The sequence below is a fragment of the Homo sapiens genome, chromosome 7, assembly GCF_000001405.40.
Source record: "Homo sapiens chromosome 7, GRCh38.p14 Primary Assembly".
Lineage (NCBI taxonomy): Eukaryota > Metazoa > Chordata > Mammalia > Primates > Hominidae > Homo > Homo sapiens.
The window spans coordinates 7,855,041-7,879,520 of NC_000007.14; the positions used below are offsets into that span (position 1 = coordinate 7,855,041).

The 24,480-nt window shown below is 38.4% G+C and overlaps 1 protein-coding gene and 1 long non-coding RNA gene across 5 annotated transcripts in view, besides 1 other annotated feature; one reads left to right on the forward strand and one right to left on the reverse strand.

Moving 5' to 3' along the window:
• The window catches only part of UMAD1 (UBAP1-MVB12-associated (UMA) domain containing 1), a 238,472-nt gene extending 214,289 nt beyond the window's left edge, over positions 1-24,183 (forward strand). For all 3 annotated transcript variants that reach the window (NM_001302350.2, NM_001302348.2, NM_001302349.2), the window contains one exon: positions 22,241-24,183. In NM_001302350.2, coding sequence (NP_001289279.1) covers positions 22,241-22,498 — 258 coding nt within the window. In that variant the 3' untranslated portion in view covers positions 22,499-24,183. The remainder of the gene's footprint in view (positions 1-22,240) is intronic.
• Positions 5,370-5,539: an enhancer, noted in NCBI's record as "experimental_100048 CRE fragment used in MPRA reporter constructs". NCBI's record gives its function as "activates a minimal promoter by MPRAs in K562 erythroleukemia cells, with activity observed for the non-introgressed 7:7900126 variant allele {active_cell/tissue: K562}" and the evidence as "EXISTENCE:reporter gene assay evidence [ECO:0000049][PMID:34662402]".
• Positions 15,628-24,480, reverse strand: part of LOC124901586 (uncharacterized) — a 52,554-nt gene continuing 43,701 nt past the window's right edge. For both annotated transcript variants that reach the window (XR_007060206.1, XR_007060205.1), the window contains one exon: positions 15,628-16,203. This is a non-coding gene — a long non-coding RNA (uncharacterized LOC124901586). The remainder of the gene's footprint in view (positions 16,204-24,480) is intronic.

Genomic DNA, 24,480 nt, shown 5'->3' on the forward strand with positions numbered 1-24,480 from the left:
ATCCAGGTTATGCTGATGCAAAAGGTGGGCTCCTGAGGCCTTGGGCAGTTCTGCCTCTGTGGCTTTGCAGGGTACAGCCCCTCCCAGCTGCTTTCAAGGCTGGCATTGAGTGTCTGCAGCTTTTCCAGGTGCATGGTGCAAGCTGTCAGTGAATCTACCATTTTGGGGTCTGGAGGATCGTGGTTCTCTTCTCACAACTCCACTAGACAGTGCCCCAGTGTGGACTCTGCATGAGGGCTCCAACCCCACATTTCCCTTCTGCACTGCCCTAGCAGAGGTTCTCCATGAGGGCTCCACCCCTGCAGCAAACTTCTGTCTGGACATCCAGGAGTTTCCATACATCCTTTGAAATCTAGGCAAAGGTTCCCAGACATTAATTCTTGTCTTCTGCATGCCCCAAGACCAACACCACCTGGAAGCTGCCAAGGCTTGGGGCTTGCACCCTCTGAAGGAACGGCCTGAGTTGTACCTTGGCCCCTTTTAGCCATAGTCGGAGTGGCTAGGATACAGGGCACCAAATCCCAAGGCTGCACACAGCAGGGGGGGCCCTAGACCCAGCCCAGGAAACCGTCTTTTCCTCCTAGGCCTCCAGGCCTGTGGTGGGAGGAGCTGGTGCGAAGCTCTCTGACATGCCCTGAAGACATTTTCCTCATTGTTGGGTATTTGCATTTGGCTTCTCATTACTTATGCAAGTTTCTGCAGAGGGTTTGAATTTTTCTCCAGAAAATGGGTTTTTATTTTCTACTGTATCATCTGGATGCATATTTTTCAAACTTTATGCTCTGCCACCTCTTGAATGCTTTGCTGCTTAGAAATATCTTCCGCCAGATACCCTACATCGTCTCTCAAGTTCGAAGTTCCACAGATCTCTAGGGCAAGGACAAAATGCTGCCAGTCTCTTTGCTAAAGCATAGCAGGAATGACCTTTACTCCAGTTCCCATCAAGTTTCTTATCTCCACCTGAGACCACTCACCCTGGACTTCATTGTCCATATCACCATCAGCATTTTGGTCAAAGCCATTCAACAAGTCTCTAGGAAGTTCCAGACTTTACTACGTCTTCTAGTCTTCTTCTGAGTCCTCCAAACTGTTCCAACCTCTGCCCATTACCCAATTCCAAAGTTGCTTCCACATTATCAGGTATCTTAAGCTATGCCCCACTACTTCAATACCAATTTATTGTATTAGTTTGTTCTCACATTGTTATAAGGAAATACCCGAGACTGCGTAATTAATAAAGAAAAGAGGTTTAATTGACTCACAGATCTGCATGGCTGGGAGGGCCTCAGGAAACTTACAGTCATGGTAGAAGGCACCTCCTCACAAGGCAGCAAGAGAGAGAATGAGTGCCAGCAGGGGAAATGCCAGATGCTTATAAAACCCTCAGATCTTGTGAGAACTTACTCACTATCACAAGAACAGCATGGGGAAAACCACCCCAATGATTCAATTACCTCCCACCAGGTCCCTCCCGCAACATATGGGGATTGTGGAGATTACAATTCAAGATGAGATTTTGGATGGCGACACCGCCAAACCGTATCATTGGGTGTGTTTTTTTTCTTTTTATGAAAGGGTATTGGATATTTTTCATATGTTTTTTTCTGAGCCTATTGAGTTGACCGTATGAGATGGTCATGTGGTTTTAATTTTTTATTCTATTGATGTGATATATTACATTAATTGAGCTTCCCTAAACTCAAGTAAGCCATACTAGGGGACAATACAAAGCTCATGCTACAGAAAAGCATATACTTTACATATATTGACCATACAGGTCTCTTTTCAAAAACAAATTAACTTTTGGGTATAAAAGGAAAACTGAAGGAATAGCATCAGTTGGGCACATTTTTGTGCAAGTCAGAATAGTTTTTATGTTTCCTTCTCACTGATCGTCTACTCAGAATTTAAAAAATTTTTCAACTTGTGATTTGCTTTACTTTTTATAGTTGATGATCCCAGGTATTTTCAATAATTTTTCAAGCAACCACCATAAAATTGTATTTTGGACTATATCACATTATTCGGTTTTTGTTTAGGTTTTAGTTCAAAGCAATTAAATAAATAGGAAGTAAAATATACACACGGGTCTTTTAAAAAATCAACTGTACTCTTTGAGCATGAAAGCACCACTCTTTTTTGCACTATTTTGGGCATAAATGCTGATGATGTACTTCCCCTTTTCTTCCACAGTTAAGGGTCCACCCGGGAGTTTACAACTATATTCAGTCCCGGAAATGTTCTCATTCTCTTTTCTAGCCTCTGATATAATCTCTTAGCATAATTGGTTCAGGAATCATGTTAAGTGGGCCCAGATCATGTGTTTCAGCCTGTTAAAGGCAAGGTATATTTTCATTTCCTGAGAACAGATTGCAGCCTAGGTCCCAACCATCTGGCACTTTCTTGCCATTGCTTGCCAAGTGCTATGGGCTAGAGAATGTGGGCAGTTGAATGCAGTCAGTCCCTGTTACTGGACAACTGACCACAGAGGACTTGTCTCAGGAAGAGTCGTCCTCATGAACACAGGACACTCTGTTGTGACTTTGAGTTCTTAAATTTCACTGGAATACATTTAGGTAAGGTAAACAGTTATTTTTAAAATGTATTATTCAGGGATCACAACAGTGCTTTTAGGGATTAAAATAGTCCAAACAGCCTGTAATTTCAGGGTGTCTAAGATCCACATAGAATTAGCATATCGAGCTGGATATAAAAATGACACATAATACAACAGCCAACAATGTTTTTCCCCCTCCAAAAAAATGGTGTCCTCCAGATTCCATCTGCTTTGTTTGTTTGTTTTGGGAGAAAACATAAGTATGATCATTAGAAAAGAATCTATAACCCTTTCTGAAAGAGAAGATAATCTTTGGTCTCTAGAAACAATAGCTTTGCATTTTAAAAGGCATGAAGTGAAATGTCCTTATACTCTGTTGGATTTGGGAAGCAGCATGAAATAGTGGTTAAGCTTATGACTCCAGAGTTAGACGGTGTGACTTCTCTGTACTTCAGTATTCCCCATCTGTTAAGTGGAGATTAAAATAGTACCTACCTCATAAAGGAAAAATTAAATTAGACTCAGGTAGAGAGCTTAAAACAGTGACTGGCAAGTAAGTGCTCATTCAGTGTGAACTGATAACGGTGGTAGTAGAAATAGGCACACTATCGGAAGCTTAAGACCGATTTGATGTAAAGTTAATGAAACGAAAATCAGTAACAGCTAATATAATTTATTTATTAGTATGTATCAGGGCTCGTATTTTAAACCACCTTATTTTTACCCTCAGGAGTGAACCATAAATTATTTAGTTTCTTCAGAGAATTCTGATTATCAACTCACCTGCAAAGAGGGCAGAGGAGGGAAAAACAAAAGCTCTGTTGGGCTGTAAGCATAGTTTCTATACACTTAAAAACACTTTGGGAAATTATAGCTGTTCACTTTTAGGTCACTTTGGCAGTTGAAACCATAGCAATGATTTCTAGAAGGCTAAAGGAAAATCTGGTACTGGGTTTTAAAAGTTGACTACCTAGAAACTTTGGTGAAATACGTAATCATCTGGGTCCTAGAGAGCTGTGTGATGTTGCTTCTTCCTCTCAGTCATTCCAGGCTTTTCTCTTCCCTAGTTCGGCCATCAGAAAAACCAGCCTGACCCATGGAAAAGTCACATGGTGGCCAGGAAGGAAGTGTGTGAGGTTCTTCCCTATAACATCCGGTTTTCCATTTCTGACAGTTAGCAGACGGATTATGCTCACACTTTCACTTCTTGTAACCAGTCATTTCCACCTCTAGCTAATGGCTTTCTTTCATACATGTACATCTTTCTTAATGCCCTTCTCTTTCCAGATTTTGCCACTAATCTCAGGAAAATTTTACTTTATCACCTTGCTGTTTATGGGAGTAAAACAAAAAATTTTAAAGAACACAACTCATGTATTTCCTAGAGATATTTCTAATGAAAATACCCCCCAGCAAACTGAGGCCAGCAATCTTGAAAGTGTTCCTAAGTTCCTTTGCCAGAGTTCAGCTCCTCCAAACTAAATTGCCTTTTCAAGCACTAGCATTCAGGATAAATTTTAATTTAATCTAATTTATTGTTTTCCTGATTTCAAGGCATATATTATAATAATTTTTCTACATCTGTGTGTTAGAAGCATATAGGATTTTTGTCTCTATTGTGAACTCATTAGCCTAAGAAAATACATTCTGACTTCTTAATAATTATAAAGATTATTTTTAGGCCGTGCTTATGAGAAGATTGGCACTTATCTGTATTTTTCTTATTTGACTCCTAAGTGTTTATGTTTCTTACCATAATCAAGAACAGTGTGAAGTTAGGTATTCTTCCATTATATGAGTCCTTCACATAACCTTTGGAATATCTTTCTGAATTACGAGTATCTTTTCAGTAATTACTTTCTTTCTATTGTTACCATTTATATTGATTTAAGTACTATTTCCTTAAGAATTTTTACTATTGCAGATTTGTGGTCTAAGTCTACTTGGAAGCATGGCATTTGAGAGCTGGATCATCTGGTTCAATTATCTCATGTTTCAGAGGAGTAAATTGAAACCCAGAAAGGTTAAATGATTCGCTTAAGGTCACACGGTTTAGGTAGAGGCAGGGGTCATTGAGACTTGAGACCAGTGCTCTTTCTACTAAGTCTTGCAGATTAATTTTCAACTTGACGTACAAGTAACAGAATATATTCTGATAATTACCTTTTTCCCAAAAATGCTAGGAATCCTGGAAAAAGATGACCTTAAGAATTGATTATCCATTAATCAACTTTTCTGTTGTTGATCTGAAAGCATTTTTTCACTAGACTGTATTTTCCTTTAAGAAATTCCAGGTTGCTTATGTAAAGTTTGTTACTTTGTTGAAGCATTATAATTTTTGAAATTTATTAAGCTATGTGAACTTTAAATTTTCCTCTTATGATTTTTAGACACCATTGTGGCTTCTCATTTTTAATCACTTCTTGGTATTATTTACTCTATTTTATTGGGTAGACTTTCTCCAAGAGCGGGTAAGGACATCTTGTACCCTTATAATAACCACAGAAAAGTATTGTAGTGTAGAGTTCCAGTGTGTGTGAAAGGTCTTAGGGATTATGGAGCTGTTTCAAACAAGATTGAAATAGTGTCAATTATATTCAGATTTTAATTTATAAAATATTAAATTGAACAGATTTACTTTAATTATGATTTTTAAAGACAAGCAAAGAGTGTATTATAAAAATGTACAAATTTATCTTACCCAAATAAGTTTATAATTCAAAATAAGCAGGAACCATGGTTTGTGTTTCTCTCACTTCGGGCCCTTGCTAATTGTCTTCCATCTACTTAAATATTCTGTATTCCTATATTCATCAAATCCTAATGAATCTGTTAGACTTGTTTCTCAACTTTTCCACCTTTTACTTAAAAATATTGTCCTGGCCGAGCGTGGTGGCTTATGCTTGTAATCTCAGCACTTTGGGAGGCCGAGGCAGGTGGATCACGGGGTCAGGAGATAGAGACCATCCTGGCTAACACTGTGAAACCCTGTGTCTACTAAAAATACAAAAAAAAAAAAAAAAAAAAAATTAGCAGGCATGGTGGCGGGCACCTGTAGTCCCAGTTACTCGGGAGGCTGAGGCAGGAGAATGGCGCGAACCCAGGAGGCGGAGCTTGCAGTGAGCCAAGATTGCACCACTGCACTCCAGCCTGGGCGACAAAGCGAGACTCCATCTCAAAAAAAAAAAAAATAACAAAAAAAATAATAATAATAATAATTGTCCTACATTAGACAAAAGATGGAAACAACCAAATGTCCATTAGTAGATAAATGAATAAACAAAATGTGGCATATACATACAATGAAATCTTATTCAGCCTTAAAAAGGAATGAAATTCTGATATATGCTACAACATATATGGACCTTGAAAACATTTTATTAAGTAAAATGACCAGACACAAAAGGATATACATTGTATGGTTCCATTTATATAAGGTGCCTATAATAGGCAAATATATAGAGACAAAAAGTGTTTACAAAAAGCTTACCCAGGGCTTGGGGAGAGGAGGGATGGGGAGTTGTTTAATGGGTATAGAGTTTCTGTTTAGGATTCTAGAGATGGAGAGTAGTGATGGTTGCACAACACTGTGAATTTACTTAGGCCACTGAATTGTACACTTAAAAATGGTTAAGATGGTAAATTTTATTTTTGTATATTTTACCACAATAACAAACTACTGTCCTGAGTTAGCCATGAAATGAAATAATAGCTCTGAGTGTGCACCAAGAAGGGACTCAGCCTCCTGCCATTCTGAATGGCCACTTCATCCTCATACTGGGGTGGAGAAAACACAGCTGTGTTTACTTTTCCAACCCCATCTTCTATTTTGAAATATAACCTTTTGCAAGTGAGAGCCAAGGTCAAGTGACACAGCTTTCTGCTCACCTCTTCAGTTTGCCAAACATTGTTTTTCTAGTGGAGTTCTGGGTTAGGTGCAGCAAGTGTGAGTAACACTATCACTCATACGCCCATTGGAATTTAATTAGTCTACCCTCATAATTTCTGTACTCAGTTTGGTATGACACATTTCCTTACTTTCATCTGTATATGAAAACACACAGTTGTGTATTCACCAACTATAGTGTTTCCAAGTATGTGGATTACTCTATATATCAAATTCAAATTACACAGAAAATAAGGCTTTTCTTCTCCAATATTTTCCCATTTCTTGAAGAATTATTTACTTTTTGAGATTAGAGAGATGTTTATACATAGGGTGAACATGAGCAATTCTAAGTACATACTAAGTATTAGATATTTATGTTTTTGTATAATAATTGTAGAAACAGTGGCAAAGCATACATTTTCAGCATATATTAAGAGCAGCAGAACAGATTAGTTTTTGTGCTCAGACAACAGCCTTAACATGAAATAACTGTATTCATTGTTGTTTGTCATAACATTTAATTATTTGTTCTTAAAAATATATATCATACTTAGGTTATGAGAATGGCAAATGTTCATTCTATCAAAGCACACACCAAAAAATCCAACATGCAGCTGGTACTTAATATTTTTAGATTTACTTTCTTCTTGTATTTTTGACTGTATCTTATGCCATTTATTTGCATTCAGTCGATATCATATAAGTGATGTCAATTTATTTATATAAAAACAAATTAGTATAATATATTTATATTTTCTTACCAGGTTTAAAATGGAAAGTGTTCCATTTTCTTTCTTATTGTATATGTAGATGATTGAAGTACTTTATGTTTCACTGAAATGAGTATTATTCCCTTCAGTGAAATTAATGTTCAGCAATGCTGAGGAGATGGGCAAGATCATTTCTCATTGTTTTCCTTTTAAATTATCTGGAAAAAATATGATCTTGTTGCATTACATTCTGAAGAAGTTGAATAGATACTTACAATAAATAAGGCTATATAAATGGGAAGTTAAGTATTAATAGAATCCAGTGTGACTAACAAGGGATATCAAGTTCTTCAGACCTGTGGTATACATAATAAGCTTGAAGAATTCGTGCACAAAAGTCTTAACTGTTTTGCAGCCTTGGTTGTGGTTAGATGCTGTAGTTTTCTAAGCTACTACATGTTGTAACCAGCTTGGTAGATTTAACCTAGTAATAAGATGCTTAGTTTAACTGTTAGTTTAAACTCAGTTTCTATAGCGGCACAGTCTTTATTTTTGGACCTTCACTTTCCAATCCAGATGACACTTGTCCATAAAGAAATTGCTAAACTTGAGACCTAAAAACAAAACAAAAAACAAAAAAACTACAGACAAGTAACCTTTAAAATTATTTCGCTTGATGGAAATTTACCGGAAGGCTTTAACCAATTCAGTTTGCTTAGACTCATAAAGAAAATTATGATAATGTCTAGGTAAACTTCAGTAAAACATTTTTTTGTGAAATTATACTATAGTACATAAAATTGAAATATTGCTGATTTAATGTAAAAAAAAAGAAATCAGCTTGGCCAAGTTGGATTACCTTGTTAGAGATTGCTTATGTAGGTGGCATCGACATTGTTACGATCTGGACACAGGGGATACATACTTGTTTTATAGTCTATATGTGACTGTCATTGACTTGGAGTATGGGACAGGGAGCATTGGATTTTAAGTCAGAAGACCCAAAGTGTAAGTCTCTGCCAGTTAGTGGTGGTGTGATAGTCACTAACCTCTGAGCCTCAGAAGATTAGAATGAAATAATAGCTTCCCTGTCAAATTTAGTGAGTTGTGAGGTTCAAATTAAATACATGTGAAACTACTTTGAAAACTGTATAGAGCACCATACAAATGTTATTTGTTATTTTTCCAAGGTTCTGATGAGAACTTTTCTGATCTCTTAGATCTAACTGAGTTATCATGAAACTTTGATAAAATTGTACCAGTATGTTGTTTCGTATAGTACTATGGGGCATGCACATGTTTTAAACCCTTAGTTTGTTATATTTTAAATTTCCAGATCATTTAACATTTGCTTTACTTCGGTTTTTGTTTTGTGTTTTGTTTTGTTTTGGTGTGGTTAATGTGCCTTTTTTATGTAAATGGGCAGTAGAAGTTGGTGGGGGTCTTAAGTACTAATAAAGGGCACTCTTTTTCCTTCTTGCATCAAGAGCCAATGGAGAAATAAGATCAAAGAGCCACCAAACAGAGAAACAAGATACATAAAGCTGTGGGTGGATAGTGTAATAGCTAAGATGGACTTGTGCACTCCCACTGTCCCATGTCTACATCTGTGGGGAAGTTTAAGGCACCACAACAGACTCTCCCTTTGGCCACTTTTTTTCCCCAGTCCAAGTAGAGAGATAAGGAGAAAGAGACTCTCCCTGGGCCTTAGGATATTAGGGTTTAGCTTAGCCCACCTAGAAATACAGGCTTACGCCTGTCATCCACTGTGATAAGAAGAAATATATATCTGGTCTTTGTCTCTGGTTCCTGACACTGAGCTTCTAGAACACTTTGAATTTCCTGAGTAATAGGGGTGAGAGGAGCATCTTTTGTTATCCATAACAAGTTCCTTTCAACCATGCCCGATTTTATGCAGTAAACCCTCTATTGACATCCTCGATAGGTTCTTGGAAGCTACAACTTTAAGCAAAACAACATATAACAAAACCAGTTTTACTGTAGGTTGATTGATAGAAATAAGAGTTAAGTTGCTATGGTATATTTGTGGTCACAAAAAATCACCAAACTTCTAAATAAAGATCAAAACACTTCTAATAGTAAACACTGAAATAAATGTGAGCTCTACATTTAGAAATATTAATAAAGACAAGTAAGAACATTACTCACCCAGTTATTTGAATTTGGACTTGCCAGAGCATATCCCAGCAGCTCAGGGTGTGAGGGGGTACCCAGAGCTGGACAGGGCACCATCCCATCACAGGGCACACTCATACACACCCACACTCAAGCAGATGGGGACAACGCAGACACGCCAGTTCTTCTAACATGCACAGCTTGGGGATGTGTGAGGAAACCAGGGTACCTGAAGAAAACCCAGCTAGACATGAGGAGAACATGAAAACTACACACACACACACACACACACACACACACACACACACACACACACACAGTGGCGTCTTGAAGAATTGAGTTTTTTTTCTTATCCATGTTGTAACATTGAATAAAAACAATGTTATCTGAGGACCCACTGTACTAATGAGATGGCTCTTGGTGGTTTCTAGATGGCATCAGAATGAAGGACCATTTGCCAGAGGAACCAACCATGTAATTAGAGGGTTGGAACCATCAGACCCACTCCTTAACCTCTGGGAAGGAAGAAGAGCTAGAGATTGAGTTAATCACCAGTGGCCAATGATTTTTATGCCTATGTAATAAAACCTCCATAAAAACCTCTAAATAGTGGGTTCCAAGAGTTTCTGGATTGGTGAACACATTGAGGTGCTAGAAGGGCGAGGTCCCGGAAGGGGTGTGGGAGCCCCAAACTCCTTCCCCTGATCTTGCCCTATGCATCTCTTCTGTTTGACTGTTCATGAGGGTATCCTCTGTAATAAGCCAATAGTGTGAAGAAAATTGTTTTTCTGGGTTTTGTAAGCTGCTCTAGCAAATTATCAACCTGGAGGAGGGGGTTGTGGGAATCCTTGACTTTATAGCTCGTCAGTCAAAAGTACCTGTGACCTGAATTTGTGATTGGCATCTGAAATGGGCGCAGCCTTGTGAGACTGATCCCTGAACCTGTGGGGTTTGGGCTACCTCCAGGAAGTTAGCGTTGGAATTGAATTGAATTGTAGAACACTCGGTTGTTATTCGGGGAGTTGGAGAATTGGTTGGTATGAGGAAAAAGCCCATGTGTTTAGTGTCATAAGTGTTGTGACTAAAAACAATATAGACCCACCAACTAGGTAACTCAGCCTACCTCCTTGGGGAGGAATAAGGGGTGGAGGAGAAGGCCAGAGTTCCTTACAGAAAAAAATCCCTGTTTATGGAAACCAGAGAAGTAGATATGAGGCTTTTCCTCTAACAGAGGTGAACAGCAATTAAATAAATGGAATTCACCTGCCCATCCCCTTGCCTACCCTCCTTTGCAGCTCTCATCTCTGAGGCTCTCCTTCCTTTTCAGTACCTACCTAGTCCTGCCACCCTGTTGCTGTTCATGTCCATTGTCCCCAAGCATAGGCTACACCACAGCCCCTCCAGATTATACCATGTAGCTGGAGAGAAACACTGATTCCTGGGAGAGAAGAGTTGTGTAAGGCAGGTTGGTTAAGGGGACTTTGGAGTAGATGAGGGGACTTTGGAGTAGATGAGGCTAGCTCAGTGAGAAGATGGGTCTGTAGGAAAAATCTTTCCCCAACAATTTCATCTACATTGTGGCAGGACCCCATTAAACTTCCTTTAGGAGATGTATTTGTAAAGCTGTTCATTTGGCAAGTCAAGGAATAACTTATCTCATGCTTGAGGAAATGGATGTAGCTGGAGTCACAAACCAGTTTATCTCTGCATTTAATACCATCCATAGTTTATCATGTTGGTGATAACGGGCAAAATGGGTTTGGTAAAATCTTAGAAAAACAAAGAAACAAATGCAGGAATTGAGGGCCAACATCCTAATTCCTAACTTATTTAGAAGAAATGTGAATATAAAATTTATGAAGAGATTTAGATTATTCAGTCATTCAGTAAACATGTATTGATTATCTGTTATGAGCCCCACATTGTGCTGGCTGGGAAGGAAATGGGAATGAAAGCTGTAGTCCCTGGCTTTGAACAGCCCGTAGGTTTGTGGGGGTGACAGGGAATTCTAGTCGAGTGTGATGTGTGCTGTGAGGGAAGTATGCATAAGCTGTTAAGGGAACACAGGGATGGTTACTTGGCCCACGTTTGGGGAGTTAGTTGGGGAAGTCTTTCTAAAAGAGGCTTGTGTGACCTGGAAGGGCAAATTGAAATAGGCAAGATGAAGGGAGTAGAAGAGAGGATGTCTTAACTTAGGTTTAAGTAATTCAATGAGCCAAGGCTCAGAACTAAAGAGAAAGTGTGTGTACACACACATGCATGAATCTACATACATGTCTACTTTTGAGGGAGTGGAAAGCAGTAGGCACCATGAAAAGGTTTGGTTAACAGCGGATAGCTTGGTATGGATGCAGTAAAGAGTTTAGGAATAAGAGTACAAGAAATTGGAGGGGTAAGCAAGGCCAGGTCATGCTTGTGTGTCGTGATAAGGAGTTTGGTCTTTTTTCAAAGGCATTGAGGAATGTTAAGCAAGGAAGAGAATGTGTTTTATATGCTACAAGTGGTAGGGAGAGTGTAGTGTAGGGTAGTAAAGCTGTACATGGGAAACTCTTGCAGCATTCCAGGAAGAAGACCTTAGTATCCTGAATGAAGAGAATGACATGAACCTGAAGAGAAATGGATGAATTAGGGGAGATATTAAAAGCAGAAAAGTCAATAGGACTCAGTGATTTATTGCATGGAGGAAGTGAGAGGGAGGGAAACGTCAAAGATGATACAGGTTTCTGTGCTGGGCAACTATATAGGTTCTCTTCACTGATAGAGAAAATATTGGAAGATTGGAAGAGCATTAAGTTTGAGGTAAGGTTAAGGTAAGGAAGGGACTAAGCTAAGAGCCAGGTTTAAAACATGTTGAGTGTAAGATGTCCTGTGGAATATGCAAAAGGAAATGTATAATAGGAGTTGAACATATGGATCAGGAACTCTAGAGAGAAATCCGAGTTTGAGATTGGTATATGTGCATGTATCTACATACATATTACTTTTGGGGGAGTGGAAGAGTGGAGCAGTAGGCATGCTCCATATCAGATAAGCTCATCCGAAGAAGTGTGTTGAGATTAGGAAGAGTAAAGGAACAGAAATGGAACCCTAAAGAACACCATCACTTGAGAAATAGACAAAAAGAATAAGCAGCTAGACATGTAGAAAACAAAACTAACAAGTGTACCGAAGCCAAGAACTAAAAATTCAGAGTCAGTAGCAGTAAGTGCTACAAAGTGGTCATTTCAGATTAGCACTTCCAAACATTTTCTGAATTTAGCAAGAGAGTGATTATTAGTAACCTTTGTGAAAGCAGACTCAGTAGAGGGGTGCAGGCAGGAGGCAGGTTGCAGTGGGTGAGGGAGGCATGGCAGACAGTGTGTGCCAACAATGGTCTCAGCCTCGCTGTGAAAAAAACATAGAAAGATAGTATGGGAGTTAGGAAGGTGATATTCCAATAGGCAATATAGAGTTGAGTCGAATTTTAAAAAATGGTTAATTGCTTCTAGGAAAGATTAGCAATTAGGAGACTCCCCCTAATTGATGAAGCCATGTCCTTGAAGAGTTTGCACTGGGTGGATCTGCAGCCCTGGAAGCTCTGGGGAAGGGGTTGGATACAAATGCAGATACATTTGTTGGGGGGTAGAGCAGATAGAGGAGATCCTCACTCGGTGGTTGCTGTTTTCTCTGTGAAGTAGGAGGCTGGCCCACCTGCCAGCAGCGAGGAGGAAGCTGGTGATATAGGGCTAGAGGAGAGAAGAGAAAGGGGAAATGTGTGCTGAGAATCATGAGGCGGGAAGGCCTACTGGGAAAATATGAGCTGCCTGGACAGCTTACGGTTGGAGTTTATGAATTTCTATAAAGCAACTTTAAAACAATTTTTAAAAAATCACTGAAACAGCCTTTTGTGTTTTCAAAACCAGTATTAAATAGGATCCTGCATTTAACGCACTATTTCTTGCCTGGTTCCTTTCCTGAAGTGCTTCTCTTTCCTCTTTCCACCGCGCCCCCACTCTAGTTGGCTAGTAGAGAAGATTTTTCCAGCTTCAGACAAACCACTTTTCCAAGAATACATGGAACAGATTACAGAAGCAAGTAACAGCCTGCTTACTTCCCCTTCTGCACTTGTATGTACGTTCAGCTGGAGTTCTGAAAAGAGGAAGTCGGGAGAACATTTTTTTCTTTTTAAAAGAAAGATTGGAGAACCACGGAGCACAAGCAGGTAGAAATATTGAAGGAAAGAGAAAGAAGAGAAAATGGAAAAAATACTGAAAAAAAAAAAATCATGAGCCAGAAGGTAAACCAAAATGATGTCAGAGACTAGGAAAGGAACAGAGAAAATAATCTGCCTTCTAACCTAGCCTCTTAGTTTGCTACTGAAATACAGCGTTCTTGAACTGGAGCCCTCACTTCTAGGCAAAACTAACACCTAGGCCACATGGAGATAGAAATCTTCTGTGAATTCAGCTTCTCCCCCCTAATTTCTGTATCAGTGACAACATATCCTGGGTTTTTATTTCTTTCTTTGACCTAACCTTTCAATTTTAAAATCAAGTCTGAGTGCCTAGAGTATCTGAAAAAGAAGGGGACCAGATCTAGTGCCATTCAAAAACATTTAATGAGCACTTTGTATATATAGGTGCTGTTCTGGGTACTGGGAACTTGGAGAAAAAGAGGAAACAATCTTTGCCGTTGCAATATGATTTCTCCCAAGTGAAAGGAGACTATTGCTTAGGAATTACATAGGTGCAGGACACCAACTCTCAGGCATTTAATAGCTAGACAGACATTTATTAGTGACCAGCTTCTTATAAAAAATAAAAAGCTTGAGTACTGCCTTAACTGTGCCATAGCTTATATCACCTTCTCCTAACCTCTGTCCCCTGATGCTTCTAACTCAGATTTGCCCCTCCACCTCACCCCACAGTAATGCAAGCAGATACCAGCTGAAGCCAGAATAGAATGGATAGTTATCTAGGGAGATAAAGTGACAGTGTTGCTTGTTCAGGCTATTGTTCAAAGAAGCACGTCTTTTATTTATAGACATTAGAATTTAAAGGCATAGACAGCCAGAGCTTGATATTACCTCTTCTTTTTGTAACTTGTTTTCTAGAAATATGCTTGATACAGCTACCTTCTTTGCATGTAAATTGAATGTGTTGGAAGAGTGTTTTATACCTGGTTTCATGTTCTTTTAATAGGTTCTATTGCTGTTTTAGTTAAGGCTGGTTTCTAAATTTTAATGCATCAATATTTTGCTTTTATAGCATACTACTTTATCTCTGTCTGAGGCATAGGTTGCAGAAAAAAGCAGGAGGTTTTAAAAGAAGCCAAATATAGATGACTTTCATATTAATAAAATATTCATAATTTAGTTGGATATAGCTAAGTAGATGAGGTCTCCAATTGTTAGTGCGTCTGCAAAGTTGGCGCCTCCTAATAGACTTCATGGTGGTTACTGGAATTTTGTGCCAGGAAAAATGTAGTTGTCTGTTCTTAAACCTGAATTTCCTTGCTTTCAAACACCCAAGAGCGAGGTTCACAAGGATGCCACTAACCTTCTGTTGCTCTGGGGAAGTGACTTCATTTTTCCAACCCTTTGCTGAAAAGTGTTATATGCCTTGTATTCTTGGAGTGTGTTTTTTCCTAAGCTCTGAGAAGATTTTTAAGATTGAACCTCATGAATTTTTACACCCCTCTGCAAGAAAGGGAGGAACAGTGCCTGTAAACCTCTTTGAATTACTTGAAATAAAGATAATAGAATGTAAGGAATGAAAATAAATTTGGCCAGTCAATTTTTTAACAGGTTAACTGATGAACAAGAAATAGTTTTTATACAAACATATGAAAACAGCTTATAACAGCAAACTTTATTTGTTGTAATGATATAAATAAGAATATTAACTTTCTTTGTAAGATTAAAAAAATCTGACACGGTATGCTCATATTTAAACTAGGTAAGGGCAACCGCTAATAATTTGAAAAAGAAGTATTAAAGCTAGGTTTATGAAGAAACTATACTCAGAAACATTATGATAGCATTTCTGTGAACAGGATTCATCACAAAAATAACAAATACGCTTTATGAACTTAGTATTTGAATTAATTTTCTGAAATTTGGCTATTAACCAAAAGGTTAATTGAGTCTTTTCTTCTTGCTCTATTGTGGTTAACATACTAATTCTTCCCATTAAAGACCCATTTTATTATGCAAATGAAAAAAATCACAAGACTTTGTGTCTAAGAGAAAGCTGCTTTTTTGGAGGGGAACTCATGCACCTGTTTAAACCCCCAGCCCCCACCACTGCTTCCATTGGCTGCCAGACTTAGTGATCAGGTTTATAGGCTGTAGGGTCCTTGAATTTTGACTCACATTTTCTTTGTGACTTACTCTTGTTTTGGCTTATATTTCTCCCCTTCCAGCTCTCAGCATGCCAACAGCAGCTGCATCATGGCACTCACCCTGCTGCCAAGAGGGCAGGCAGCCTCCTTGGAGACTGTAATGTTGCACTATAGCCAACAGTTAAGAGATAGATGCTGGAGTAATACTTACAGCACAGCTGAAATTCACATCATCCTAGGAGGCATTTGGTGGAACACTTTGCCCATCGTATTGTTAAACTAATTTTTAAAAACTTAATTATGAAAAATTTTCAAGCTTATACAAAGGTGGAAAGAATACTATAGTGCATTCCCACTTACCTTCATGTCTGTTTCAATAATTATCAACTCACAGACAATTTTTCACTGTCCACGGTGTTTTTCCCATGGTCTTATCCAGACTGCTGGTAGATTCATTTCCAGGGATAAATATATCTTAAACTAGAGTTGCTTTTCCATCCTTCTTCAGCCTGTCTGTAAGATCTGTCACCTTAATGATTTTCTCAGTCCTTTCTTCTTTAAGGTACAAAATATTAGCATCTTTTTTCTTCCTAAATTAAGCCAAGATATGCTACTTTAATAACTGTTATATTTTCTAATGCTGTACCCTAAAATTGTTGAAGCACTGTTCATTCAGTCAATCATTCTATCCAAAGCATGTCTGAAATGTGCAGGATCTTGGAATATAGAGCTTTAATGGTCATTGGGTTTGATTATCAGTTTCACCACTGACAAGCTGTGTAATCTGGGACAACTTCCTTAACCTCTCTGTGCCTCAGTTTCCTCTTGTCTTTAATACGGGACTAATAGGAGCACATACCCTTACAAGGCTGTTGTAAGACTTAAATGAGCAAATACATTTAAACAGCTTAGATACAGCCTGACACAGTGTTCCGTATATGCTAGTTGCTGTCTTGTCATCATTGTCATCCTAGTTGTCTTCATCATCTTCATCTTTTGTCCCTCTTCACTCATTTTACATAATAGTGGGTTGAGGCTCAAATGGGTAAAGCAACCCCCTTCAGGTCAGATGGCAGTTTTATCAGGATAACTTGAATGAGAAAGCATGTCCCAATTTTTTTACTGTACTAGATATAGTTTGATACATTCTTGTCCTCAAGGAATTACGTTCTCACAAATAACAGAGAATTGTCAAAAAAAAAAAAGAGGATTAATAAAAATATGAGGAATAAATATTGCTGCTGGAGAGTTAAGCCTTAGGCACTGCGTGTTTCAAGAGGAAGAGAGAGAACCTCAGCTGCTGGGGAGTCCTTGCCACACTCAGTCTCCCACCACATCAAGAATCTCCCCTCCGCAGTTCCATGCAGACCTCCGAAAGAGGAGGGGGCCTTCATGTCCCATCAGTAAAGTCTGCTCTACTCAGCCATAAAAAAATAAAAAATAAAAAATAAAAAAAAAAAGAAGTTGTGTGTTTAGAAAGCAAAATGCTACAGGTAATGTACAGGCATACCTCGAAGATATTTCGGGTTCAGTTCTACATCACTGCAGTAAAGTGAAAATTGCATTAAAGTGAGCCACATAAATTTTTTTGTTTCCCACTACATATAAAAGTTATGCTTACACTATATTGTCATCTATTAAGTGTGCAATAGCAGTATGTCTAAACAAATGTACATGTCTTAATTAAAAGTATACTGAGCTGTCTCAGGGAAGTCTGAGGAGAGGCAGATAGGGGAATGGCCAACTAGTTGGTGGAACAATCAGAACACACACAACATTTATCAGTTAAATTTGTCATCTTACATGGGCATGGTTCGTGGCACTGCAAAACAAATACAATAATAGCATCAAAGATCACTGATCATGCCTCACCAAAGCAGATAGAATAACGAAAAAATTTGAAATATTGTGGGAATTATAATAATGTGACATAGACACACAAAGTGAGCACATGCTGCTGGATAAATGACTCCAGTAGACTTACTTGATGCAGGGTTGCCACAAACCTTCAATTTGTAAAAAATGGAGTATCTATGAAGTACCGTAAAGCAAAGTGCAATAAAAGAATGTATGCCTATACCTCCACTTTAGTGCAGAATGTGGGATGTCAGGAATGCTTTTGTTTAAAAAAGGAGATGATTTCGCTAATGAAACTCTAGAACATTCTATACACAACCAAAAAAGAAAAGAAAGTTTGAGTGGGATGAGACTACCAGATCTAGGGAACATTTACACATGAGATTAAGAGAGAAAGCAAGAAATAAAAGGAGAGGGAAAGGTATTATTTGAACTACCAGTGAGTGTCAAAAGAGATGAATGGATTCTAAACTTCATCTAAACCCAAATGGGATCTGGCATTTCTAAAATGTTATTTATTCACTTACTTTAACCTGTGCCGAGCACTGTTCTGCTTACTTATAAATATAACTTTATTTAATCCTTGCATTTAACAATCCTATGAAATAGCTAACTGTTATCAATCTCATAATACAGCTAAGGAAACTGAGGCACGGAGAAGTTAAATATTTTGCCCAAGGCCATTTGCTTATTAATAAACAAGAGACCTGGGATTTATACCAAGCAGCGTGGTTCTGGAATCTGTGCTCCTAACCACTTTGTTCTCCTGCTCACAGGTGATCAAAGCCCCGGTGCATATGGAATCTTGAGGTTTTATGGTGCACCCAAACGTTGCTTCCCTTTCAGTTTTTCTATATAAACCAGTGTATAGAGAAGCCCTTTAAAGAGAATAGAATGGTGGTGTCATTACTCATACCTGCACTCTTGGCTGACCCGAGGATAATTAGCATGGTGAGTCCCAATTAGATTTCAGGAGACAGGATCTGCCCACTGCAGATGTACATCTTTATAACAAGCTTTATCATAATAGAGTATGATTACATTTGTTAGTTGCAGTCCTAAAACAGTACTCTGGTGTTATTTTCACATGAAATTATAAGACCACTCTTATAGGCATGTGCTTTTTAACTTTACTAATTCGAGGTCATCCACTAAAAAATATTTCTTGATGGCCTCTGTTTTAGGTATTGGAGATGCTTTGTGACGAGTTCCTTCTCTATAAATTCTCTATGGATTTTTTCCTTTCTTATGAGCTGTTTCTTATTAGCTTATAAATTGTCATTATTTCTCCCAACTTGAAAAACAAAAATCAAAAGAAACTTTTCTTGACTACACATCCCTTTTTAACTACTGGCCCATATATGTTTCTTCATTTACATCGTAACACCTAGAAAATACTGTCTGTTCTAATTTTCTCTCCACTTTCTCCACCAGATCTCGTCCAGCTGCAGATTCAAATTATATCCCCCTGCCTACTAACAGCTCCACCTGATGTCCGCTAGGCACTGAAACTTCCAAAACCCAACTCTTGATCTTCCCACCCATTCCTGCTCTCTGGTACTCTTTCCCATCCCTATAATTGGTGATTCCATGTGTCTCATCGCTCAGGCCAAGAGCTTTGGCTTTATCCTTAACTGTGCTCTTGTTCTCATATCCCCACCGTCCATTCCATCAGCAAATTGTGTTCCTTTTACCCTTAAAGTCTATCCAAAATCCAACCATTTTATCTCACCTTTGCTATCCCTGCTCTAATCGACTTCATAAGTAATCTGTCATTCCCAGCTATCTTCCCACTTCTTTCCCCGGCCACCCCACCTCTACTATCTGCTGTCAACCCAGCAACCAGGGTGATTATTTTAAAACATCAGTCAGAATATATCACCTTTCCAACAATATGTTCTTCAAGATTTTTTTCATCTAACATGCAACAATTTAGATGAATCTCATCCACATAATGTTGAGTAAAAGAAGCCAGAAGCAAGAGTTCATACTGTATGATTGCATTCATTTAAAATACAAAATCAGGCCGGGCACAGTGGCTCACGCCTGTAATCCCAGCACTTTGGGAGGCTGAGGAGGGTGGATCACCTGAGCTCAAGAGTTCGAGACCAGCCTAGCCAACATGGTGAAACCCTGTTTCTACTAAAAATACAAAAAGTAGCTGGACATTCCAGCCTGGGTGACAAGAGCAAAACTCTGTCTCAAAATAATACATAAATAAATTAATTAATTAAAAAACAAAACCAGGTAAAACCAATTCTGTGTTGTTAGAAATAAGGATAGTGATTGACAGGACGGGGGTTGATTGTGACTGCAAGAGAACACCAGGAGGGCTTCTGGGGGCTGGTCTTTTCTATTTCCTGATCTGGGCGCTGGTTGCTCATGTGTATTCAGTTTGTAAAAATTTAGCAAGTTACACCCTTATGAAGTATTTTGTATTTTTAGTACAGACGGGGTTTCTCCATGTTGGTCAGGCTGGTCTCGAACTCCCGACCTCAGGTGATCTGCCCACCTTAACCTCCCAAAGTGCTGGGATTACAGGCGTGAGCCACCGTGCCCGGCCCAGAAAATTATTCTTCTCCTTTAGACTTACAGTCTAAGAATTTGTCAGCATTTATAACCATTAGCATTTATAACCAAAGACACAACGTACCAGAATCTCTGGGACACAGCTAAAGCAGTGTGTAGAGGGAAATTTATAGCACTAAATGCCCACGGGAGAAAGCAGGAAAGATCTAAAATCGACATCTAACATAACAATTAAAAGAACTAGAGAAGCAAGAGCAAACAAATTCATAAGCTAGCAGAAGGCAAGAAATAACTAAGATCAGAGCAGAAGCGAAGGAGATAGAGACATGAAAAACCCTTCAAAAAAATCAATGAATCCAGGAGCTGGTTTTTTGAAAGATTAACAAAATAGATGGACCATTAACCAGACTAGTAAAGATGAAAAGAGAGAAGAATCAAATAGACACAATAAAAAATGATAAAGAGGATATCACCACTGATCCCACAGAAATACAAACTACCATCAGAGAATACTATAAACACCTCTATGCAAATAAGCTAGAAAATCTAGAAGAAATGGATAAATTCCTGGACACATACACCCTTCCAACACTAAAGCAGGAAGAAGTCGAATCCCTGAATAGACCAATAACAAGTTGTGAAATTGAGGCAGTAATTAATAGCCTGCCAACCACAAAAAGCCCAATAAATCTTTATTGAGCAGTAGGCACTGATCTAGGCATGTGGAATACAGCAGTGAACATGAGCTACAAAAGCTTCTTGGCTGGGTGCAGTGGCTCATGCCTGTAATCCCAGCATTTTGGGAGGCAGGCAGATCGCTTGAGTCCAGGAGTTCAAAACCAGCTTGGGCAACATAGTGAAATCCTGTCTGTACAAAAAAATACAAAAATTAGCCAAGCATGGTGGCATGCTCCTATAGTCCTAGCTACTTGGGAGGCTGAGACAGGGAGGATACAGTGAGCCAGGATCACGCACTGCGCCCCAGCCTGGGTGACAGAGCGAGACTCTGTCTCAAAAAAATAACAAACAAAAACCACGTAAAAGTAAGTTTTATATAAGTGAGAAAAGGCCTCATTGAGATGGCATCTGGGCTAGCGCTTGGAAGGAGATAAGGGAAGTAGCCCTGTGTATGTCTGGGAGAAGAGCGTCCTGGTCTGAGGGAATGGAAAGCAAAGGCCCTGAGGCAGAAGCAGGCTCGGTGTGCACGAGCAAGCACTTGCAAGGAGCACTAGCAAGGAGACAGTGGGATTGAAGAGGAATAGGCCAGGGCACACGAGCTGGAGATGAGGGCAGAAGCACACCTGGAGCCAGATGGCGAAGGAGCTAGTAGGCCTCTGTAAAGACTTGGGAGTTTCATTCTGCCTGAGATTGAGGGTCAAGGGGGGAGTCATTTTTTTGCCCAGGCTGGTTTGAGTTAGGTTCCAGGTGCTTGTAGTGGCAGGCCATTCATCTTCATTGCTGTAAATAAATTTCAGTTTATTATCCATTCTTCTATTGATTGATATTTAGGTGATTTGCAAGACATATTAATTGTAAAGAAATTGAACAAGATATATCCTTTTTTAAAAAATTGCGTAACTTTTATGACATAACAGGTTAGTTCCAATGACAATCAGACAATCAGTACTCATGGTATACATTAGAGATAAATTATGAGTACATATATATTACTGTCAAATAGTAAAGTGTGCAAGGTTGAAAATACAAAGATATGCCAGATAGACTGCTTGCCTTCAAGGACCCTATAGTCTAGTTGGAGATAAGATATATTTGCATATGGAACAGCAATTTGCAAGGACACATATAGGCAACACCAAATAACATCTTAGGCAATTTGCCCCATAAGCATTCTGAAATAGGCAAGATCACTTTGTACTCCATTGATACAAGATTTTATAGGGCAGCTGAGAATTTAGCAGAGCCTGAAAACGTACATAGGATTTGGAAAAGCGGAGACAGAATTTGCAGACATTATCTGAGCAAGGGAAATAACAAGAAGGCCAGTTTGTGTTTAAGGGGTCTGTGGGTGGTCAGTCTGAGTTAAAGTTTAGGATTCATTTTAAAGCCTAACAGAGATTTGGATGAATGTAATTCTAAAGTAAAGTAAAGAGCTGCGTTCAAATCTGGGAATATTTATATAGCCCACATTGCTCAATCATTTTGATGTATTAATGCCACATTTACCGTTATTCAACCTCAAAGTTCACAAGGCCTAAATGTTTTAAATGTATGTATTTTTAGACCAACAAAGAAAATTCATCCAGTGTGACTGTATCAGACCCTGAGATGGAAAATAAGGCAGGCCAGACTCTGGAGAACAGCTCATTAATGGCCGAGCTCCTGAGCGATGTGCCGTTCACCCTGGCCCCGCATGTGCTGGCAGTACAGGGCACCATCACTGACCTTCCCGACCACTTACTCTCCTATGATGGCAGCGAAAACTTATCACGGTTTTGGTATGATTTCACTCTTGAAAATTCAGTGCTCTGTGATTCATAACCTTTATGTCTGTTTGCACCTTAACAGCTTTAAAATATGTTCGCCTATTTTATCTAACCTGTTTGATGTTCTTTGCCGTTTCACTGTTTAAGGTCCTCAGCAAGGATCATAAAGCAAAGAAAATAGCATTATGTTCACTACTCTATTTTTAAGAAAAAGGTACATTTGTATACAAATTGAACTTAAGTTCTACTTCCTTTCTCCCATATAATAAATATACAAATTAGGCTATGAAGGTTTTAGGAAAGGACTCGATTCCTTCAGATGGTCTCTCAAAATATAACACCTCAAATTTATCTTAGAAGAACTGTGAAAAAGAATTGTGGCATTTTTCAGTCACTACAGCTCCGAAGTCTGAGCAAGAAGTGGGTGTGAAGTCTCCTCTCTGGTTTGTAGGAAGTTGAATTGGTGTTATTCCTGCATTTTTTTCTTCCACAGTGTTTATGAATGAATTCAGAAAAAAAGTTGCCAGTTAGCTTAATTTCTTCAGATGCATTGATGTGGAAATTTAAAACTTGTCCTAAACAGCAGTGCTAGTTTGCTGATACAAGGATGCTAGACCTGCTCTGCGTGCTCTTTCTGGAGTGGCCCATTTCGGTTTTCTGAAACCCATGGCAGCCCTTTCCATCGTGAATAATCGTTGTGTTCCCACCTTTGTTCTCTGCCTTTTTGCTACTTCAGTGTGCTCTCTGACCAGCTTTCCAAAGAACTTTCCCTGCTTCTGCCTCGGTTGCCATTTGCTCTCCTTACCACATATGTTCCCAGTTTATGAAGAGATCCACATTTCCTTTCAACCCCTCTGCCTCCTGAAGAAAAACATCTCATGATGATACATATTATTGCTGATAACACCCTTATTTAGAAATTTGTTGGCCACAATAGAGATGGAAATGTTTTACTGCTGGAAAAACTGAAATCAACTCATTTCCAATTAGAGTATAGGCAGAACACCTAGATATGACTTTTAGTTCTTGAATATCCATTACTTACTTTAATGAAAACAGAACTGCCATTGGTCAATAAACTGTAAAGGGAAGAGGTAAATTGTGATAGAGAATTTTCTATGTCATGGGAAATTGAAATCACATTTATTTTGATTACCAGCAATATGATTTGTTAACTCTGTGCCAAGTTTTAAGTATATTTTTTCACAAAGATAGAGTGCCATAGTGAAACTAAACACTGTGCATAAAGGTACATGAATTATTCCAGTTTTAAAGTATTATGCATGTTTGTTTAATAAATGTGGCATGGTTTTAATACAAATGCTATGTTATTTAAAAGTTAGAGGAACATTTCTATTGACAAAAATATGCTTCATTTACATATAATGTTACCATATGGTGTTAATGATTAAATTAGATCTTTACATAGTTCTTACAAAGCATCAGTCTAGGAAATATGACTTATTACTGATGCAAACGTGAACATTTTGTAGTAGTTTTGTAAAAGAACATCCTTTTCAAATATCTGTGTTAATGTACCCTTGAAATTAAATGCAAGCACATAGTCAGTTTGTCTAATTTTGTGTGAAATTTTGTCGAAAATACCTAAACATTTCATCTATATTTGTGCCTACCATGTTATAAATGTTCATAAGTACCTTCATGTGTCTATAAAAAATGTTATATTTAAATAAATGTGAATTAAAATAAAATTTTTGATTATTTTCAGATCCAGAAAAATGGGTTTGATTGCATTATTTATATCTGAATGCAAGTTGTTAATTCTTTAGGAGCCAAAAAGTTTAAGTATATAGTTTGTATAGTGCTGGGAAAAATATACGATTTCCTCTTACATGTAAGTTTTAAGGAATAACATTAAAAATGGTAAGATCCCTAGTCCTGGCTTAACAGGACTGGAGGGATTTGAGAGAGATGACATGAGCATTTCTAGATTGATACCATCATCACAACATTTAGTAAGGGCCAATGTTAATGATCTTCTTCTTTAAACAAAAATATTGTGAAAATTACCATTTA